The sequence below is a fragment of the Homo sapiens genome, chromosome 11 (genome assembly GCF_000001405.40).
Source record: "Homo sapiens chromosome 11, GRCh38.p14 Primary Assembly".
Lineage (NCBI taxonomy): Eukaryota > Metazoa > Chordata > Mammalia > Primates > Hominidae > Homo > Homo sapiens.
The window spans coordinates 15,551,221-15,566,865 of record NC_000011.10 but is presented as its reverse complement, the minus strand read 5'-3'; the positions used below and the strand labels follow the sequence as shown (position 1 = coordinate 15,566,865).

General features: G+C 41.9%; 1 long non-coding RNA gene across 5 annotated transcripts in view, besides 3 other annotated features; it reads right to left on the bottom strand.

Moving 5' to 3' along the window:
* Window positions 1-14,093, bottom strand: part of LINC02751 (long intergenic non-protein coding RNA 2751) — a 152,600-nt gene extending 138,507 nt beyond the window's left edge. For 4 of the 5 annotated variants that reach the window (NR_169503.1, NR_169504.1, NR_169506.1 and 1 more), the window contains exon 1: window positions 4,638-5,047. This is a non-coding gene — a long non-coding RNA (long intergenic non-protein coding RNA 2751). Of the gene's footprint in view, window positions 1-4,637; window positions 5,048-13,952 lie in introns of those variants that run through there. The other variant, NR_169502.1, reaches the window with a different exon arrangement.
* Window positions 98-1,371: an enhancer, noted in NCBI's record as "VISTA enhancer hs692". NCBI's record gives its function as "enhancer in: forebrain[9/9]" and the evidence as "EXISTENCE:transgenic organism evidence [ECO:0001131][PMID:17130149]".
* Window positions 4,111-5,310: an enhancer, noted in NCBI's record as "BRD4-independent group 4 enhancer chr11:15583102-15584301 (GRCh37/hg19 assembly coordinates)". NCBI's record gives its function as "activates an origin of replication core promoter dependent on BRD2, P300/CBP, MED14 and CDK7 cofactors, and independent of BRD4, by STARR-seq in HCT116 cells {active_cell/tissue: HCT116}" and the evidence as "EXISTENCE:reporter gene assay evidence [ECO:0000049][PMID:35650434]".
* Window positions 5,940-6,441: an enhancer, noted in NCBI's record as "H3K27ac-H3K4me1 hESC enhancer chr11:15581971-15582472 (GRCh37/hg19 assembly coordinates)". NCBI's record gives its function as "activates a minimal SCP1, AML or CMV promoter by ChIP-STARR-seq in naive H9 embryonic stem cells {active_cell/tissue: H9 hESC(naive)}" and the evidence as "EXISTENCE:reporter gene assay evidence [ECO:0000049][PMID:30033119]".
* Window positions 14,094-15,645: the final 1,552 nt, after the last annotated feature.

Sequence of the window (15,645 nt, the reverse complement as noted above, 5' to 3'; positions counted from 1 at the left end):
CCAGGGAGTGTTGTGAGGATGTAAAGAAAAACACAGAGCATGTGAAAGTGTTTTGTGGATGGGAGTGTGCCTTGTGGATATTATTTCTTACCTAGATCAGGGTGTCTGTGTTGATGCTATTCTCCTTACTATCTGAGTTTTCCTCTTGCCCTGACCCTGACCCAGGGGTGTTGGTCGCTGCTCTCAGAGAGAGTCTGGCCCTGGGGCTCCACCAGACCTCGCCACTGCCTGTTTCCTTGTGCGCCCCATGGCAGCCTCCAATGAGGAGGCCAACCCTGGATGTGTTTTGTGTAGTGTTTGGAATTCACCTCAGCCTACCATGAAGGAGAAAGAGGGAAGGAGAAGAAAAAGGAGACGCAGCAGCCGCCACCACCAAAGCCTCCCAGGGAGCGAGCCACTCTAGAATAGTTCCTCCTGAGCTCTGCAGAGGCCTCACCACTGAGGAAAATGCCAGAAAAATGCCAGCTAATTTCAGAGGCTCCACGTTGGTGGGCCAACATCCCAGGGAGAATGAGCAATTATGATTTCCATCTAAGCAACATATGCTGTTTGCTGGCCTCTTTCGAACAGCTGTAGGTTAGATGCTGTTAAGATTGGTCTCCTTCTCTCCTCCATATTTCAGAATTCAAATTAAACTAAAATAACAGCACCTGCTGAACAAAAACCCCATTGGAAATGTGTCCTCGTACACAATTACTGTAGGGAGGCTGGTCACCATTGTTACCCGCCTATTCTTCCTGAATGGGAACGGCAGCGAAGTTTCCCAGGCAGCTGCAGCAATTCAATTGTATAACTGGAGCTGGCCCCGCGCCAACCCTCAAGAACTCAAGTGGCACCAAAAGATACTATATTGATTTGCAATCGAACATAATAGGCCATCAGCTTAATTATTACTGAAGTGACAAGGTTCTGGGTATTTCATATTTATATTTCAGGGCCTGTGAAGGATGAATGTAAATCTTTTAAATGCACGGATTTGCATATCTTCAGAAGGGTTGAGTGCTCTTATTACATTCATAGCCTTTGAAAGACCAAAAGGACTGGCTATTGAACTCAGGTTGCCAGATCCCACCGGCATTTGCTTGGATGAAGAGACAAAAGGCATAAAATGGAAATTGCTTTTAGTCCAAAAAAAAGCCAAAAAAAAAAAAAAAAAAAAAAGCCCACTACCCAACTCCATCAAGCTCAGCCTCTTCGGGGGCCTTCTCTGGGAAATTGGTTATAGGTCTTATTGGACAGAGGCATTTGGATATTGGGAAATGAAACCAATGACTCTGACTTGTGAGGTCCCCTTTGCTTTCTCCTTCCCAGCCTGCACCCTGGGCTCTGCAGAGCTCTGGTCAGTAGAATCTTATGAGCCACTGAGATGTGGGCAAGGGAGGGACAGGGAGAGACAGAGGTTCATTTTCCAAATGTCCACTTCACTTATGCACCACACTGATACCAAAGACGCAAAGACAATGGTCTCTTCATCTTCGTCCACTCATCATCATCAACCCTCCTCCCTACATCCTTTCTAATAGGACCTGTTACCCTAGCAAGAAATTTTAAAACCATTCCAGATTTCGCCCTATCTCTCACCCTGCAGATCCAGTAAGTCATTGCAAGTTATAGATGCCTCCTCCTGAAGCCCCCATGAGTACTGCTCTCTGCCCCATCAGTCTTATGTCCTACCTCTGTCAGGTCTCATTATAAAGCCGAAGTCTGTAAGATTTTCCTGCCATACCTTCCTGCCTGCATCTTTCTGGATTGCAGTCCATTTCCTACCCTGCCATCATAGGGCTTTTCTGAAAATGCTGGAAACTCCTGCCTAAAACCTCTCCATAGAGGCCAGATGATAAAGCTCATCTCTCTTCACAGTCAGGCATCAGCCTTCATGCCAAACCACTATTCCCTAGGCATGTACTTTCACCCTTTACACATGGTGTTTCAATTCTCTTTGCCTGAATGCCTTTTTCTTCTTGTCAGTGGAAAGACAAGAATCATCTTTCAAGATTCCCTTTGAAACACTGCATCCTATCTTATACTTTACACAGGTCCCCTCCCCAGCAACTTCACTTTGTTCATATGTACATTATGAAAACTTGTCATATTGTCCTTTACTTAATGGTTCACACTGGGAGATAAACTGCTTCCACTAGCAAGGCCTCACAGTCAGAAAATGTGCCTTTATATCTGGACCTGGCTCAGAGCTCGGAATGTAGAAATGTTCAGCAATTGTTAGTTGAGTAATTCTTCATTCCTAGGAAACATCAACCATGTATTGAATGTCTATAATGTGTGATATTGTTCCAGGTGCTGAACCAAAAATAATTCATATGGGAACCCAATCCCAAGTCCAAGACACCACAATAAGCATAATAGTCAATGCTAATGACCAAGAGGATGGTTTAGACATCAAGCATCCTCCAAACACAGAGAAACAGGAAATTTGTGGCCTAGAGTGTCTGGGAGAAAGTAGGACTACAGCTAAGCCTGAAATCTTGAAATGCTATAATTTAAGAAGTGGCAGGATTATTTGAATTCACCTTCTCCAATCCCCACATTTTATAGATAAGAAAATTGAAGACCAAAAAAGGTAAGATTTACAAGGTTGCAAGAGCAGTAGGAATTCTCGCTTCCAAATCCCGCTTCTTTCCGTGATGCAGTGAGATGGGTAGGACTTGACTAGAAATGAAGTGTGGAGAATATTCCAGATGAAAGATCTACAGCATTCTCATCATCCTCAGTAACCTCAGGAACCACAGTATTATCACTATTGCCACCACTCCTCTCCCCAATACCACCATTGACACCACCTTCATTGTCTCCACCATTGTCAGTATCCCCCTGACAGCCACTGTTCCAGCCCCACTCCCGCCATCATTCACACCACCACGATCCGTATCAAAGAAGCCTCTTTGTTGAGTGGAGAGAAAAGGTGCTTTGTTCTTGTTTCCATTATCTGTAATGAAATTTCTGCCCCTGTTCTATTCCATTTTCCTACACCATTTAGACGGCCTCTGTCCTTTCAGATCCTGGGCTCTAGCACAGAGCTGTCTTAGCACTGCCAAGGGGCATTGTGATAATCTCCCCACTCAAGGAAGAATTTTTATTCCCTTGAACTGAGAAGCTATTTCCAAGGAAGCTAGATCAATAGGAATACAGGAAAGAAAAAAAAGAGAGACAGAGAGAGTATTGCAAAGTTTAGGAAACCAGAATTCTGTCTACAAAGGTAATGGGCAATAAGAGTTACGATCTAATTCTTTGAAGGGGACAGTTCAAGAAGTCTGAAGAGGGAGATGCCCACTGTTACCTAGATCAGGAAACCTAGGGATATTCTCCAGGACACAGCTGAATCCCCCTTTCCCTGACTCTCGATGTCCTGGCTTATCATCCCGTTCTCCCCCTACCCTCCCTGTTGCCATTCTCCGGCTTCTGTCTCGTCTGGGGCTGCATTTAGATCCACTTCCCTGGCTTATGTCCTTTGGGAGGAGCCCAGCACCTCCACTGGAATCACCCAGGAGAGAAATCCGAGGGCTGGCAAAGACTCAATCCCTGGAGTCCTCAGGCAGCAGCATCCCCACAAGGGCCTCTCCTGCCAGGCAGAGCACAAAGGAAGGCATTATCCTGCGAGGAGGAGAGGAGCTGAGGAGGACCACCTGCTCAGGCAATTCTATGATAAAAGGAAGTGAGGCTGGAAATTGGACAATTGTTACTAAGTAGCTGAGGACCCAGCTGAGTGGGGTTTTCTTTAATAGAGATGATAGAAACCAGCTTTAAAGGCAGATGGAGATTTTCCAGAACCTAGGGGCTCATGAAGAGAAGCAGGGGAGAGAAGTAGGCCCAGGAAAGGGCATCTTTTAACATCCTTGTGAGGAGCCAGGAGTGGGGTTCTTTCTTACAGGGATAGGAAGCATTTCACATGTGTCAGTATTTATTTCCTGCTCTCCTTTTAAAGGCACAGTCTTTGTGAGCACCTGGGAGGGAGAAAGTGATCCCTAAGACTTGGCGAGGGTTTGCCAAGAATTAGCTACAAAGGACCAAACACTTCTTTCACTGCTTTCTAGGCTGGGAGACTGTGGAAACACTGGAAAGCAAGCAAATCTGGACTTCAAGCATTTGACAAAGTCTTTATTTTCGTGGAAAAGATAGGTGACAAGGTAATTAAGTGAATTTGGAGTTGGTTTGTATCTACAATTGATTGTGTGCTTACCATTTGTCAAGCACCATACTGGATTTTTCACACATCCTATCACTGAATCACCTCATTCCCCTTAAACAGATGAGTAAAGTGGCTCAGAGACGTTGACACATTTAGGCCTAGGGGAGCCTGGAAGCATATCTGCCACCTCTCTATAGCACCTGTCTTCAGGCTAGAATGGAGCATGCCCATGTATGCTCACAAGGTACTAGGGGAGCCTGGGAGCATCTCTGCCATCTCTCTATAGCACTTGTCTGCAGGCTAGAATGAAGCATGCCCATGTATGCTCACAAGGCATACTGTTCCATCATGCACAGACAAACACCAATCAACACACTCTCGGTTGCAGTCACATAGAGCTCCGACCCCCACAGATGCCATGGGTGTGTGAGCACACACAGCCTTATAGGTACGAACATGCTCCCACACCAGGGATACCTCTCAGAGGTCTTACCTTTTTCTACTTCCTGTCTCCATCTAATGGATAGCACTCCTCTTTTCCTGCATCTCAAGCTTCAGAAAATGGCGCTGATTATCTGGAGTAACATTGTGTCCGGAATTGGTGGGTTCTTGGTCTCACTGACTTCAAGAATGAAGCCGCAGACCCTCGAGGTGAGTGTTACAGTTCTTAAAGGCCGCCTGTCCGGAGTTTGTTCCTTCTGATGTTTGGATGTGTTCGGAGTTTCTTCATTCTGGTGGGTTCGTGGTCTCGCTGGCTTCAGGAGTGAAGCTGCAGACCATAGCGGTGAGCGTTGCAGCTAATAAACGCAGTGTGGACCCAAAAAGTGAGCAGCAGTAAGATTTACTGCAAAGAGAGAAAGAACAAACCTTCCACAATGCAGAAGCTGACTCAAGCGGGTTGCCACTACTGGCTCAGGCAGCCTGCTTTTATTCTCTTATCTGGCCCCACCCACATCCTGCTGTTTGGTCCATTTTACAGTGAGCCAATTGGTCTGTTTTACAGAGAGCTGATTGGTCCATTTTGACAGGGTGCTGATTGGTGCGTTTGCAATCTCTGAGCTAGACGCAAAAGTTCTCCACCTCCCCACTAGATTAGCTAGATACAGAGTGCTGATTGGTGCATTTACAAACCTTGAGCTAGATACAGAGGGCTGATTGGTGTATTCACAATCCCTTAGCTAGATATTTTAAAGATTCTCCAAGTCCCCACCAAATTAGCTAGATACAGAATGCGATTGGTGCATCCACAAACCAGGAGCTAGACACAGGGTGCTGATTGGTGTGTTTACAATCCTTTAGCTAGAAATAAAGGTTCTCCAAGTCCGCACTAGACTCAGGAGCCTAGCTGGCTTCACCCAGTGGATACCGCACCGGGGCCGCAGGTGGAGCTGCCTGCCAGTCCCGTGCCGTGCACCCACACTCCTCAGCCCTTGGGCGGTCAATGGGACCAGGCACCGGGGAGCAGGGGGCGGCGGTCGTCGGGGAGGCTCAGGCCGCGCAGGAGCCCGGCGGGGGGCGGGGAGGGGGTGGTGGAGGGTGGCTCAGGCATCGCGGCTTGCAGGTCCCCAGCCCTGCCCGGAGGCAGCCAAGGCCTGGCGAGAAATCGAGCGCAGCGCCGGTGGGCCGGCACTGCTGGCAGACCTGGCGCACCCTCCGCAGCTGCTGGCCCGGGTGCTAAGCCCCTCACTGCCCGAGGCCGCTCCGCTCCGAGTGCGGGGCCCGCCAAGCCCAGGCCCATCTGGAACTCTAGCTGGTCCGCAAGTGCCGCACGCAGCCCGGGTTCCTGCCGGCGCCTCTCCCTCCGCACCTCCCGGCAAGCTGAGGGAGCCGGCTCCAGCCTCAACCAGCCCAGAGAGGGGCCTCCACAGCGCAGTGGCGGGCTGAAGGGCTCCTCAAGCGCGGCCAGAATGGGCGCCCAGGCCGGGGAGGCACCGAGAGGGAGCGAGGGCTGCTAGGGCTGCCAGCAAGCTGCCACCTCTCAACATCTAAAGTCCAGTGGGCTGAGCAGCATCCTCAGGCAGAGGCTGTGGGAAAGCAAGGCAGAAAGACCCTGAGGGATCCATGGGTCAGATCTGCATTCATATGCCTAACCTTGCCCCATGTTAGCAGTGTGGCCTCAGGGAGTCCCTGCATGTCTCCAACCCCCGGTGGCCCTTCTGTTAAGATGGGGATAGAAATACCCATCACAGAGCATTGCTCTGAGGACTGGAAAGTCCTGAGACAGTTGGGACAGAGTGCCTGTGCCTGCCCATGGTCAATCCCAAGCCATTCTGCCACGTTGTCATTCTGCCACATTCTGAGGCCAAAGCCATTTCCATGCTGCATTGCACCCTGTCAACAGCCCCCAGGGAAAAAGAGGTGGCAGAGAGTCAGGGGGCGTTGAGACCCTCAGCTGCTCCCGGAGAGGCAGGGCTGACAAGGCAAGGATTGTTTTTCTCCCCTGGTGTGAAGCTTGTTGACTTGCTGTTGATAGATGGTGGGATAATATTCATTAAAATACAGGCAGGTGTGAGGGTGCCACTTAGAGTTGTGCTTTCTCTCGGGGAAGGGGGAAGCCATCCGACTCTGTTTTGTAGCCATAGAAGGAAGAGCGTCCTGTCCTCTGCCCTCCCCTCCCGCTTCTGACAGCAGGTGCTACTTGGAGGAAAAGGTCTGGATTTCCCTGTCACTGGCAGAGGCAGGTCACAGGAGCACCAGGCTCCAGGTGGGAAGCACCATCAGGCTTTCCATCCTAGTGGGTGCAGTGAGGGGAGGGGCAGGCCTCTTAACACTTTTCCTCAACCATGAGGTCTTCTGAGATTCTGCCTTTGGAGAATGTGCTCCAGGAAGCACTTGTCTTTTCTGCTCCTTGCCAGCTCTGCCTCTGGCTCCCATAGGCAGGACTGGGGTGCAAAGGACTTCCTGAGAGGGAGGAGTTCGATGTTCTAAGGCAGAGCCTACGGGGAAGAGCTGAGACCAAACACCACAAACCAGGGTCTGTGTGCAGGGTCTGTGTCCAGAGGTCTAGGGGCTGGGGTTTGAACTTGAGACAGGAGCAAGCACAGGACAGGAATAAGAAACCTGAGCAAAGACTGGTTGTTGCACACAGCCACACAGCCGCGGGACATGCCCAGCCCAGCCCTACGGCCAGAGTTTTTTTGCTGTCCCTTGGACCAAGATGGACTGCAAGAGGACATAGATGAATGCCAAGGTCCTCCTTCTTGTCCCTTCCTGCAGGAATGGTTCCTGAGGACTCCTAATTCTGAGGTGTTAGTATTGGACATGGTAGGAACTATTGAGGATCCCTGCAGTCAGGTGACGTGATTGAAATGTTAGAGCTGAGATTCAAACAACTCATTTATGCAAGCTGAAGCCCCAAGCCACTCCTCTGTTTCCTGAAACTTTATTTGAACAGGAGTCAGTGAGACATCTCAAAAGAAAGTCCTTCCATTGCCCTACCTCTGTTAACCTCTCAGAAGAAAATAAGGAAATATCTGTAAAGGGAGAGTAGAGATAGAGAGCAAGCTGTAGGCTCAAGACTTGGTCCCTGAGCTCACAACCCAAACCACAGAACTTAATCTTCAACTTTCCAGGACTCTGTTTACTTGTTTGTAGAAAGGAATAAATGAGATTGTGAATTCTCCCTCTCTTCTTCTCTCTCTCCCTCCCTTTCTTCCTTCTCTTTCCTTCCTTCCTTCCTCTTTCTTTCCTTCTTTCTTTCTTTCTTCTTTTTCTTTCTTTCTTTTCTTTCTCTCTCTCCCTCTCTCTTTCTTCTTTCTTTCTTTGTCACTTTCTTTCTGACTTTCTCTCTCTTTCTTTCTTTCTTTTTCTTTCTTTCTTTCTCTCTCTCTCTCTCTCTCTTTCTTTTCTTCCTTCGTTCCCAACTTTCCTCCTCCTCCAGCTACACGGATAATTTGACAATCTGCATTTGGGGTTCTTAAATATGTGTAATCATTTCTCCACCATCTGACCTGTAAATAACAGCTTTAATGAGGATTGTTGGAAAACATTCCCCAGGGATGGCAATGAATTATAATGCAAATTGAACTGAGCTTTCTTGCAGGCTTAATAGCTAGAACTGTTAACAATGAGGATTATTTTGGAAGTGTTGAAGAAGAGACAAGGTAAAGCAGTAAAAAAGTCTCTGCAGACTCAAAGTGTAGCCTCCTCCATGCCCCATCTTACTTAGTAACACATTTGTTAATCCAAAAAGATCAAAGCCCTTCCAATAACACAATCAGGATGTCCCACATCCTTGGAATATAATGGACAATATCATTCCAAACTGTTTCTGGAAATAAACAGTCAATTCAAACAAATAGGACAATGTTTTCTAACAGATACATATTAGGAAACATAATATATATAAAAACATATATATATGTTTCTTAATCTATAGATATGAGAGTTTTTTGATTAATTTTTGTTAGGGCAATTCTAAGTTCACAGCAAAATTGAGCAGAAAGTTCGTAGTTCCTGTATACCTCCTGCTGTCACATATGCATGTCCTCCCCACTACCAACATCTCCCACCAGAATGGTAGATTTGTTACAATTGATGAACCTACACTGACACGTCACTGTCATCCAGAGTCCACAGTTGACATTAAGGTTCACTTTTGTTGTTGGACATTCCATGGGTTTTGGCAAATGTATAATGATATGTATTCACCATTATAGTATCATACAAAATAGTTTCACTTCCCTAAAAATTCTGTGATCCACCTACTTAATCTTTTCCTTCCTGCTAACTCTTGGCAACCACTGATCTTTTTACTGTCTCTATAGTTGTGCCTTTTTCAGAATGTCCTATAGTTGGATTCACACAATATACAGTCTTTTCAGATTGACTTCTTTCACTTACTAATATGCATTTCAGTTTCCTCCATGTCTTTGTGTAGTTTTATAGCTTATTTCTTTTTAATACTGAACAATAGTCCATCATCTAAGTATACCACAGTTCATCCATTCACCTACTGAAGGACAGCTTGGTTACTTCCAAGTTTTGGCAATTATGAATAAAGCTACTCTAAACATGCATGTATGGGTTTTGTGTAGAATATAAATTTTTCCCTTTTTGGCTAACTACCAAGGACAGCAATTGCTGGATCATATGGTCAAAATATGTTTCGTTTGAATACATCTAGTCCCAAATGTTTAAGAAAACAGTTTGTGGATTTGGGCTATGTGATCTTCAGAGAGAGACACAAAGTTGGTGAGTTTCTGAACAACAGTAAACAACAACAAGTCTCAATATTACTTTCATTAAAGAATCTTTAGACTAATATGCCTTTTTTACATTTAACATTTTTGTTTTTAGGAAGGCAAATAACCATCTATTTCAGATGATGAGATATTCTCTTTCTGGAATTAAACTGGAAGATTGAACTGGCCTACACGTATGCTAATTAAAATGCTGTAGTATTTGTTAGAACTAATAGCAATGCAAGTATCAGTAATGACATTGGAGACAGTTGTTACCTTGAGTTGTGGTCATAGTCTATTCACGCTGGTTTAAAAAAATACCTGAAACAAGATAATTTATAAAGAATAGAAATGTATTTCTCACAGTTGAGGAGGCTGGGAAGTCCAAGATAAAAGGGTGGGCAGGTTCAGTGTTTGGTGAGGGAAGCTCTCAACTTCCAAAATGGCACTCTGATGATGACTTCTTTGGAGGGGAGAAACATTTTGTTCTCACATGGTGGAAGGTGGAAGGGCAATAGCCTAACACTGGCTTTGTAAAACCTCTTCTATAAGGGCCTAAATCCCATTCAGAAGGGAGAAGCCTTCATGGTCTAATGACCTCTTAAATGCCCCACCTCTTAATCCCATCGCATTGTCAACATCAGAATTTTGAGACACATTCTAACCATAGCAGTTGTCTTGCAAAAACTAACAGAAAACTGAGAATTTGCATTAATCCTGGAAAGAGTCAAACTTTTAGAGAACATGTCAAAGGACCTAGAGCTAAGCCATGAAGGAGGGAAGGGGTTCAAATAAGTAGACCATAATGATAAGCCATGTTCAAGAGCAGCCAGGTCTGGGGCTAGGCTAGAGTGGTTTTCTGCTGAAAGGTGTGGTATAATTTTGGCCACTTTTATTCTTCCATCCTGTTCCCCCATCATGGCTTTGCTCTCAGCTATAATGTAGTGCCCCAAGATTCTGTGCATTTTACTCATTCCAAGTGACTTCCAAATAGTGTACTCTTCCCAAATACACCTCAATTCTTCAAAAATTAATAAATTAAAGAAATATCAAATGCATATAAAAATTTACTGGTCCAAATAAAAGGAGATTGTTCCTAAGAATTAGAATTAATATTTCCCTATTAAATAGATACATTTTTGTTAACAAAGAAGGAATTTGAAAATGTTATAATCCATGCTCTTATTAAGATTTAAAAGGACAATGCATCTATCAAAAAGGCACATCTGCACTGGTGGGGTGGCTCACACCTGTAATCCCAGCACTTTGAAAGGCCAAGGCAGGAGGATCACTTGAGCCCAGGAAATTGAGACCAGCCTGGGCAACAAAGTGAGATGCGTTACTAAAAAAATTTTTTTTCAATTACTCAGGCCTGGTGGTGAATGCCTGTGTAGTTCCAGCTACTCAGGGGGCTGAGGCAGGAGGATTGTTTATGCTCAGGATTTCAAGGCCGCAGTGAGCTATATGATTGCACCACTGCACTCAAGCCTAGGTGACAGAGCAAGACTATCTTAAAAAATAAAATTACAATAATAATAAAAGAACTTCTGAGACCAGAAAAAAATTCTAGATAAAAAATATGGTTATGAAATATTTACAGAAAACATAACGAAGTAGTGAATAGTTGATTTAGATAAATTATCCCAGAATTCAGAGGAAATTTGTATAGATGAAAATGATGAACAAAAATATGATAAAAGTGAAGAATAGATCCAGAACATATAATCCATTTATAGTAGAATTTCAGAAAGTGAAATGAAACATATGGAAGAATAATACAAAATATAAACAGACTTCCCTGTACAAAGGAAAAATTAAGATTTGTGGAACCAAATCCCTGATTGAGCAGCGAGGTAAAGCTGATAGAAGAAAATATGTTCCTAGATATATCTAGTAACATCTTTGAATTTCAAGGATCAAAAACATCAGAATTTCTGGCTAAAAATGGGTAATTGAACACATGCCTTTAGTTTCACTTTCCCTTAAAATCTCACTAAAATGATAGTAAAAAAAAAATGTTTGAAGACAATAATTGAAAATGGCAAAGAAAAATAGAATGTCAGTAGCCAAAAAAAAAAATTGGGAAGCTGAGCAGTAGATGAAGTGTAACTGACACAGCTGACTGACAAAAGCAGGATTCTAAGCTGCCAGCAGGAAAAGCCAAGAAGAACACATTCCCCTCACAGAACTCAAACTCTCAGGAATCAGTAGCTCCCACACTTATGGGGGCTGGGTGGATGGTGTTAAGAAGCTAAAGTAAGGACTGGTTAAACTGTGTTGAGAATTCAAATAGCAGTATAAGCCTGCTATTTAGAGTTACAGAAGTACGTTTTTCAAAATCAGCTAAAAAATTTGAAAGTAGTTGCCTTTGTGGAGCAGTAAATGGGAGAGGGTTTATATTAAGTTACAAGTCTTCTAGAACTATTTGGCTTTTCAAATTATCATTATGCATAAGGTGAAAAAAAATGAATACCTAATTGTAAAGCTCTTTAAATAATTAAGGAGGGGAAAATAAAATTTTTATGTAAAAATAAAAATAGTTAAGTTGGCAACGGTCTCTTTTTCTGCAATTCTAAATGCCAGAAGACAATGGAGCAATGTCTATAGAATTTTCAAAGGAAATTATTGTGATCAAAAATTTCTGAACCTGGAAAAACTGTCAATATAAAAGGGCTGGAAAAATGACTTAGAAAGTAAAACTACTGCATGTATTTATTAAGAAAAAAAAAACAAAAAAAACTAAAAGAACTAAACCTCAAGCAATTCTCTGCCTGTCTGAGAAATTAAGAAAAATGAAACTCTTATTTATAGGAAAAATGTAATAAGAAGGAAATGAATGATAACAATGGTAGTGTTTCAAATATAAATGTTAGCATCTTAATATTTGTAAAAGGTAAATATAAAGCCTAATGCTAATTAAAAAAAATTCTTAAAGGGGTAGAAGTATAATGTATTATGGATTACAATTTTAGCATCTAAATTAAAAAACCCATAATCTGTCACAAACATGTGTGGTATAAAGGAGAAATAGCATGAAAAAACATGTATGTTTCAATGGTTAAACAAATAGTTCTTTACTTATGTGTCGATCCCTCTCCTCATGGTTACTAGGGTTTTTGAGTGAGGATGGGGTAGGGGACTGGATAGATAATGCTTATGTGTTTCATTGTAACAGAGAAAATTAAAGTTTAATATGTTTTAAGAACAAACCATGTAATCATCAGTATAAAGGAGAGTAGATATTTTTCTAATTAATATAATATTTTTAAAAAGCATATAATATGCAAAACATAAAGTTATCTGCATACTGTTCATAGCAAATGTTTTAAAACTAAGTTGGTCTAGAAAGGTTCACAGGAGTACAGATTTATTAAGGAAATGCCAAAAAAAGAGAGGCAGAAATGCCTATAGTACTATCGGAACTCAAATTAAAATTCATGTAACAGCACACAAAGGAAGTGGAATGTTACTTAATATTGATTAGACAAGATTACCTAAAATAAAGTTATAATTACTAATGCTAATCTATTAAATAACAAAGCATTAAAATACTTTAAAAAGCTGTTAGAGAAATTGATGAAAGTACAATTGTATTGACAGATTTAAAGACACATCTTATTTTTCACGGCACAAATAGCAAGTGAAAAAAGTGAAAAATCAGTTGAAAATTTGCCTTAAATGATCAAATGGAGAATTGCATACACTACAAACAGAAAATACATTACTTTCCAAAGTTCATGACATTTTCACAAAAATATTTATATCCTAGGCCATAAAAAATAGTGAAAAAATTCTTCACATTTGAAACCATACATTCTACAGTCTAACAATGCAGTGCAATAAAAGTAGACATTAACATAAAAGGCAAAGAGGAAAAACTTAAATTCACTTGAAAATGGAAAACAAAAATCTCCTCTCCAATGTAACTTCTATGTCAAAGAGTTAATTAAAACTGAAATTACAAACTATTTAAAAAACAATAAAATTACTGCAAAAGTATGAAAATAGGAAGAGCAGTAATAGAGAGAGGAGTATTATTAGTATATTGTTAAATAATGGTGGAAGAAATCAAAGAAGCTACACATCCAACTTAAGTAGAGAAAACATATAAGTAGCGAATAAAACCTAAGAAAAACTGAAGGTATAGAAAATAAGAAATCAAATAAATAGGAGATAAAACAGAGGTGACAAACTTAACAGATTTTTTTTCATTCAGTAATACTGACATCCTTCTGGCAATGCAAATCAGGAGGAAAAAAGGTAGAAAATAAAAATGTGCAACAGTAGGCATGAGAAAAGGGGGTAAAACTAAATATACAAAACAGTTTTAAAGAACTAATAATACCCTGTACATCTCCATGGAAAAACATTTAGACACAAAACATTTAGATACAAGATTGAACCAAGAGTAAGTTAAAAAAACAGGATAGAGACTTTGGTTTTAGCTCTAATGTGTAAAGAGCTTGGAAGATGCTACCCTCCACCCTTATGAGAAAAAAGTTGAACAAACTGAAAATCAACAGCTTTTCTCAGATAAATCAGGGAATAAAGTTGCAGGGGAAACTGCTGCCTCAAAATTTGGAGAGACAGGTAAATCCAGAGAATCAAAGCTGAGATCAGCTTACCTGAAGCAGAAGCTGCTGGAGTCAACAACTGGTAAAAACAGTAAAATGATAATTTTGATGAATTTCTGGAGGTGAATGTGAACTAATTAGAGAGTGAGAAACTCCTGGGGGTCACAGTCTTAGGGGTCCTGATGTGCTTCTGAGTCTTACTTCCAGCAACTCCACAAGATTCTCAGGATGAACCAAAAAGATCTCCTGACTCTCGCACAGGGAGGGAAGAGTAACCACTGTGAAACACACAGTGAATTCTCCTTAACAAAGGCCTCCTCTCCATGGGGAAGGAATTTGCCTTTTATCAAACCTGGGGAAAGGCATTTCTCCCACTTCTAGGCTTCCTATCTCACATAAGTGGGGAGAAAAATCTAAGAAACACTTATGAAGGTCACTGCTAGGAACACAGGTCCACCAACATACTGAGATTTGATAACAGAAAACTTCCCCTTCCCCCTAAACTGTATGACCACTCCAACAAGGCTCCCTAGTGTAATAACAATGGATTATAGATAAAAGGGTTGTACACAACTGACTCAACTGAGGAAGTGTTCACAGGGAAACCCAAAGACAATGGGAGAGACATAAACAAGGACATAAAAGAAATTTGAAGCCTCTAGTAACTACATTAAACACAGCCTAATTCCTAGCCAGATTAGCGCAAATGCTTAAACTGAGGCCGATTTACCTCAGCTTCTAACATATAATATGCCTGACTTTCTGTAAAAAATTACAAAACGAGCCAAAAAGCAAGAAAAATCACAGTCTAAAAGATAAAGCAAGCATCATCAACCAGATTCAGATATAACACAGATGTTGGAATTATCAGACAGGAAATGTAAAATAACTATGATAAATGCATTAGGACCATAATGGAAAAAGCAGACAACATACAAAACAGATGGGTAATGTAAGCAGAGAAGTGAAAATTCTAAGGAAGAATTTTAAAAATTTCTAGAAATAAAAAACACTTTAATGGAAATGAAGAATGCTGCCTTTGATCATCATTACATTGCCATACTTCATCAGTAGACTGGACATTGTTGAAAGAACCAGTGATCTTGAAGATATGTCAATAGAAACTTCCCAAACTGAAGTACAAAGAGAAAAAAGAATGAAAAAGAAGAGAATATCCAAGAACTGTGAGACAATTTCAAAAAGGGTAACATACACATAATTGGAATAACAGGAAAAAAAAAAGAGAAATCAAAGAAGATATATTTAAAGTAATGACTTGGTAGCTTCAAAAATTAATCAGTAAACAAAACCACAAATATAGAAAGCTCAGGGAACACCAAACAGGCTAAATCCCCCAAAATTGACACCAGGACATAGTATATTCAACCTACACAAAACCAAAGACAAGAAAAAAAATATTTATAAGAAACCAGAGGGAAAAAAACCTACCTTACCTATGGAAGAACAAGGTAAGAATGATCATAAAGTTCTTGTCAGAAACCATGCAATCAAGTCCGGACACGGTGGCTCATGCCTATAATCCCAGCAGTTTGGGAGGCCAAGGTGAGCAGATCACTTAAGGTCAGGAGTTTGAGACCAGCCTGGCCAACATGGTAAAACCTTATCTCTACTAAAAATACAAAAATTAGCCAGGCATGGTGGCGCACACCTGTAATCCCAGCTGCTCAGGAGGCTGAGGTGGGAGAATCACTTGAACCCAGAAGGCAGTGGTTGCAGTGAGCTG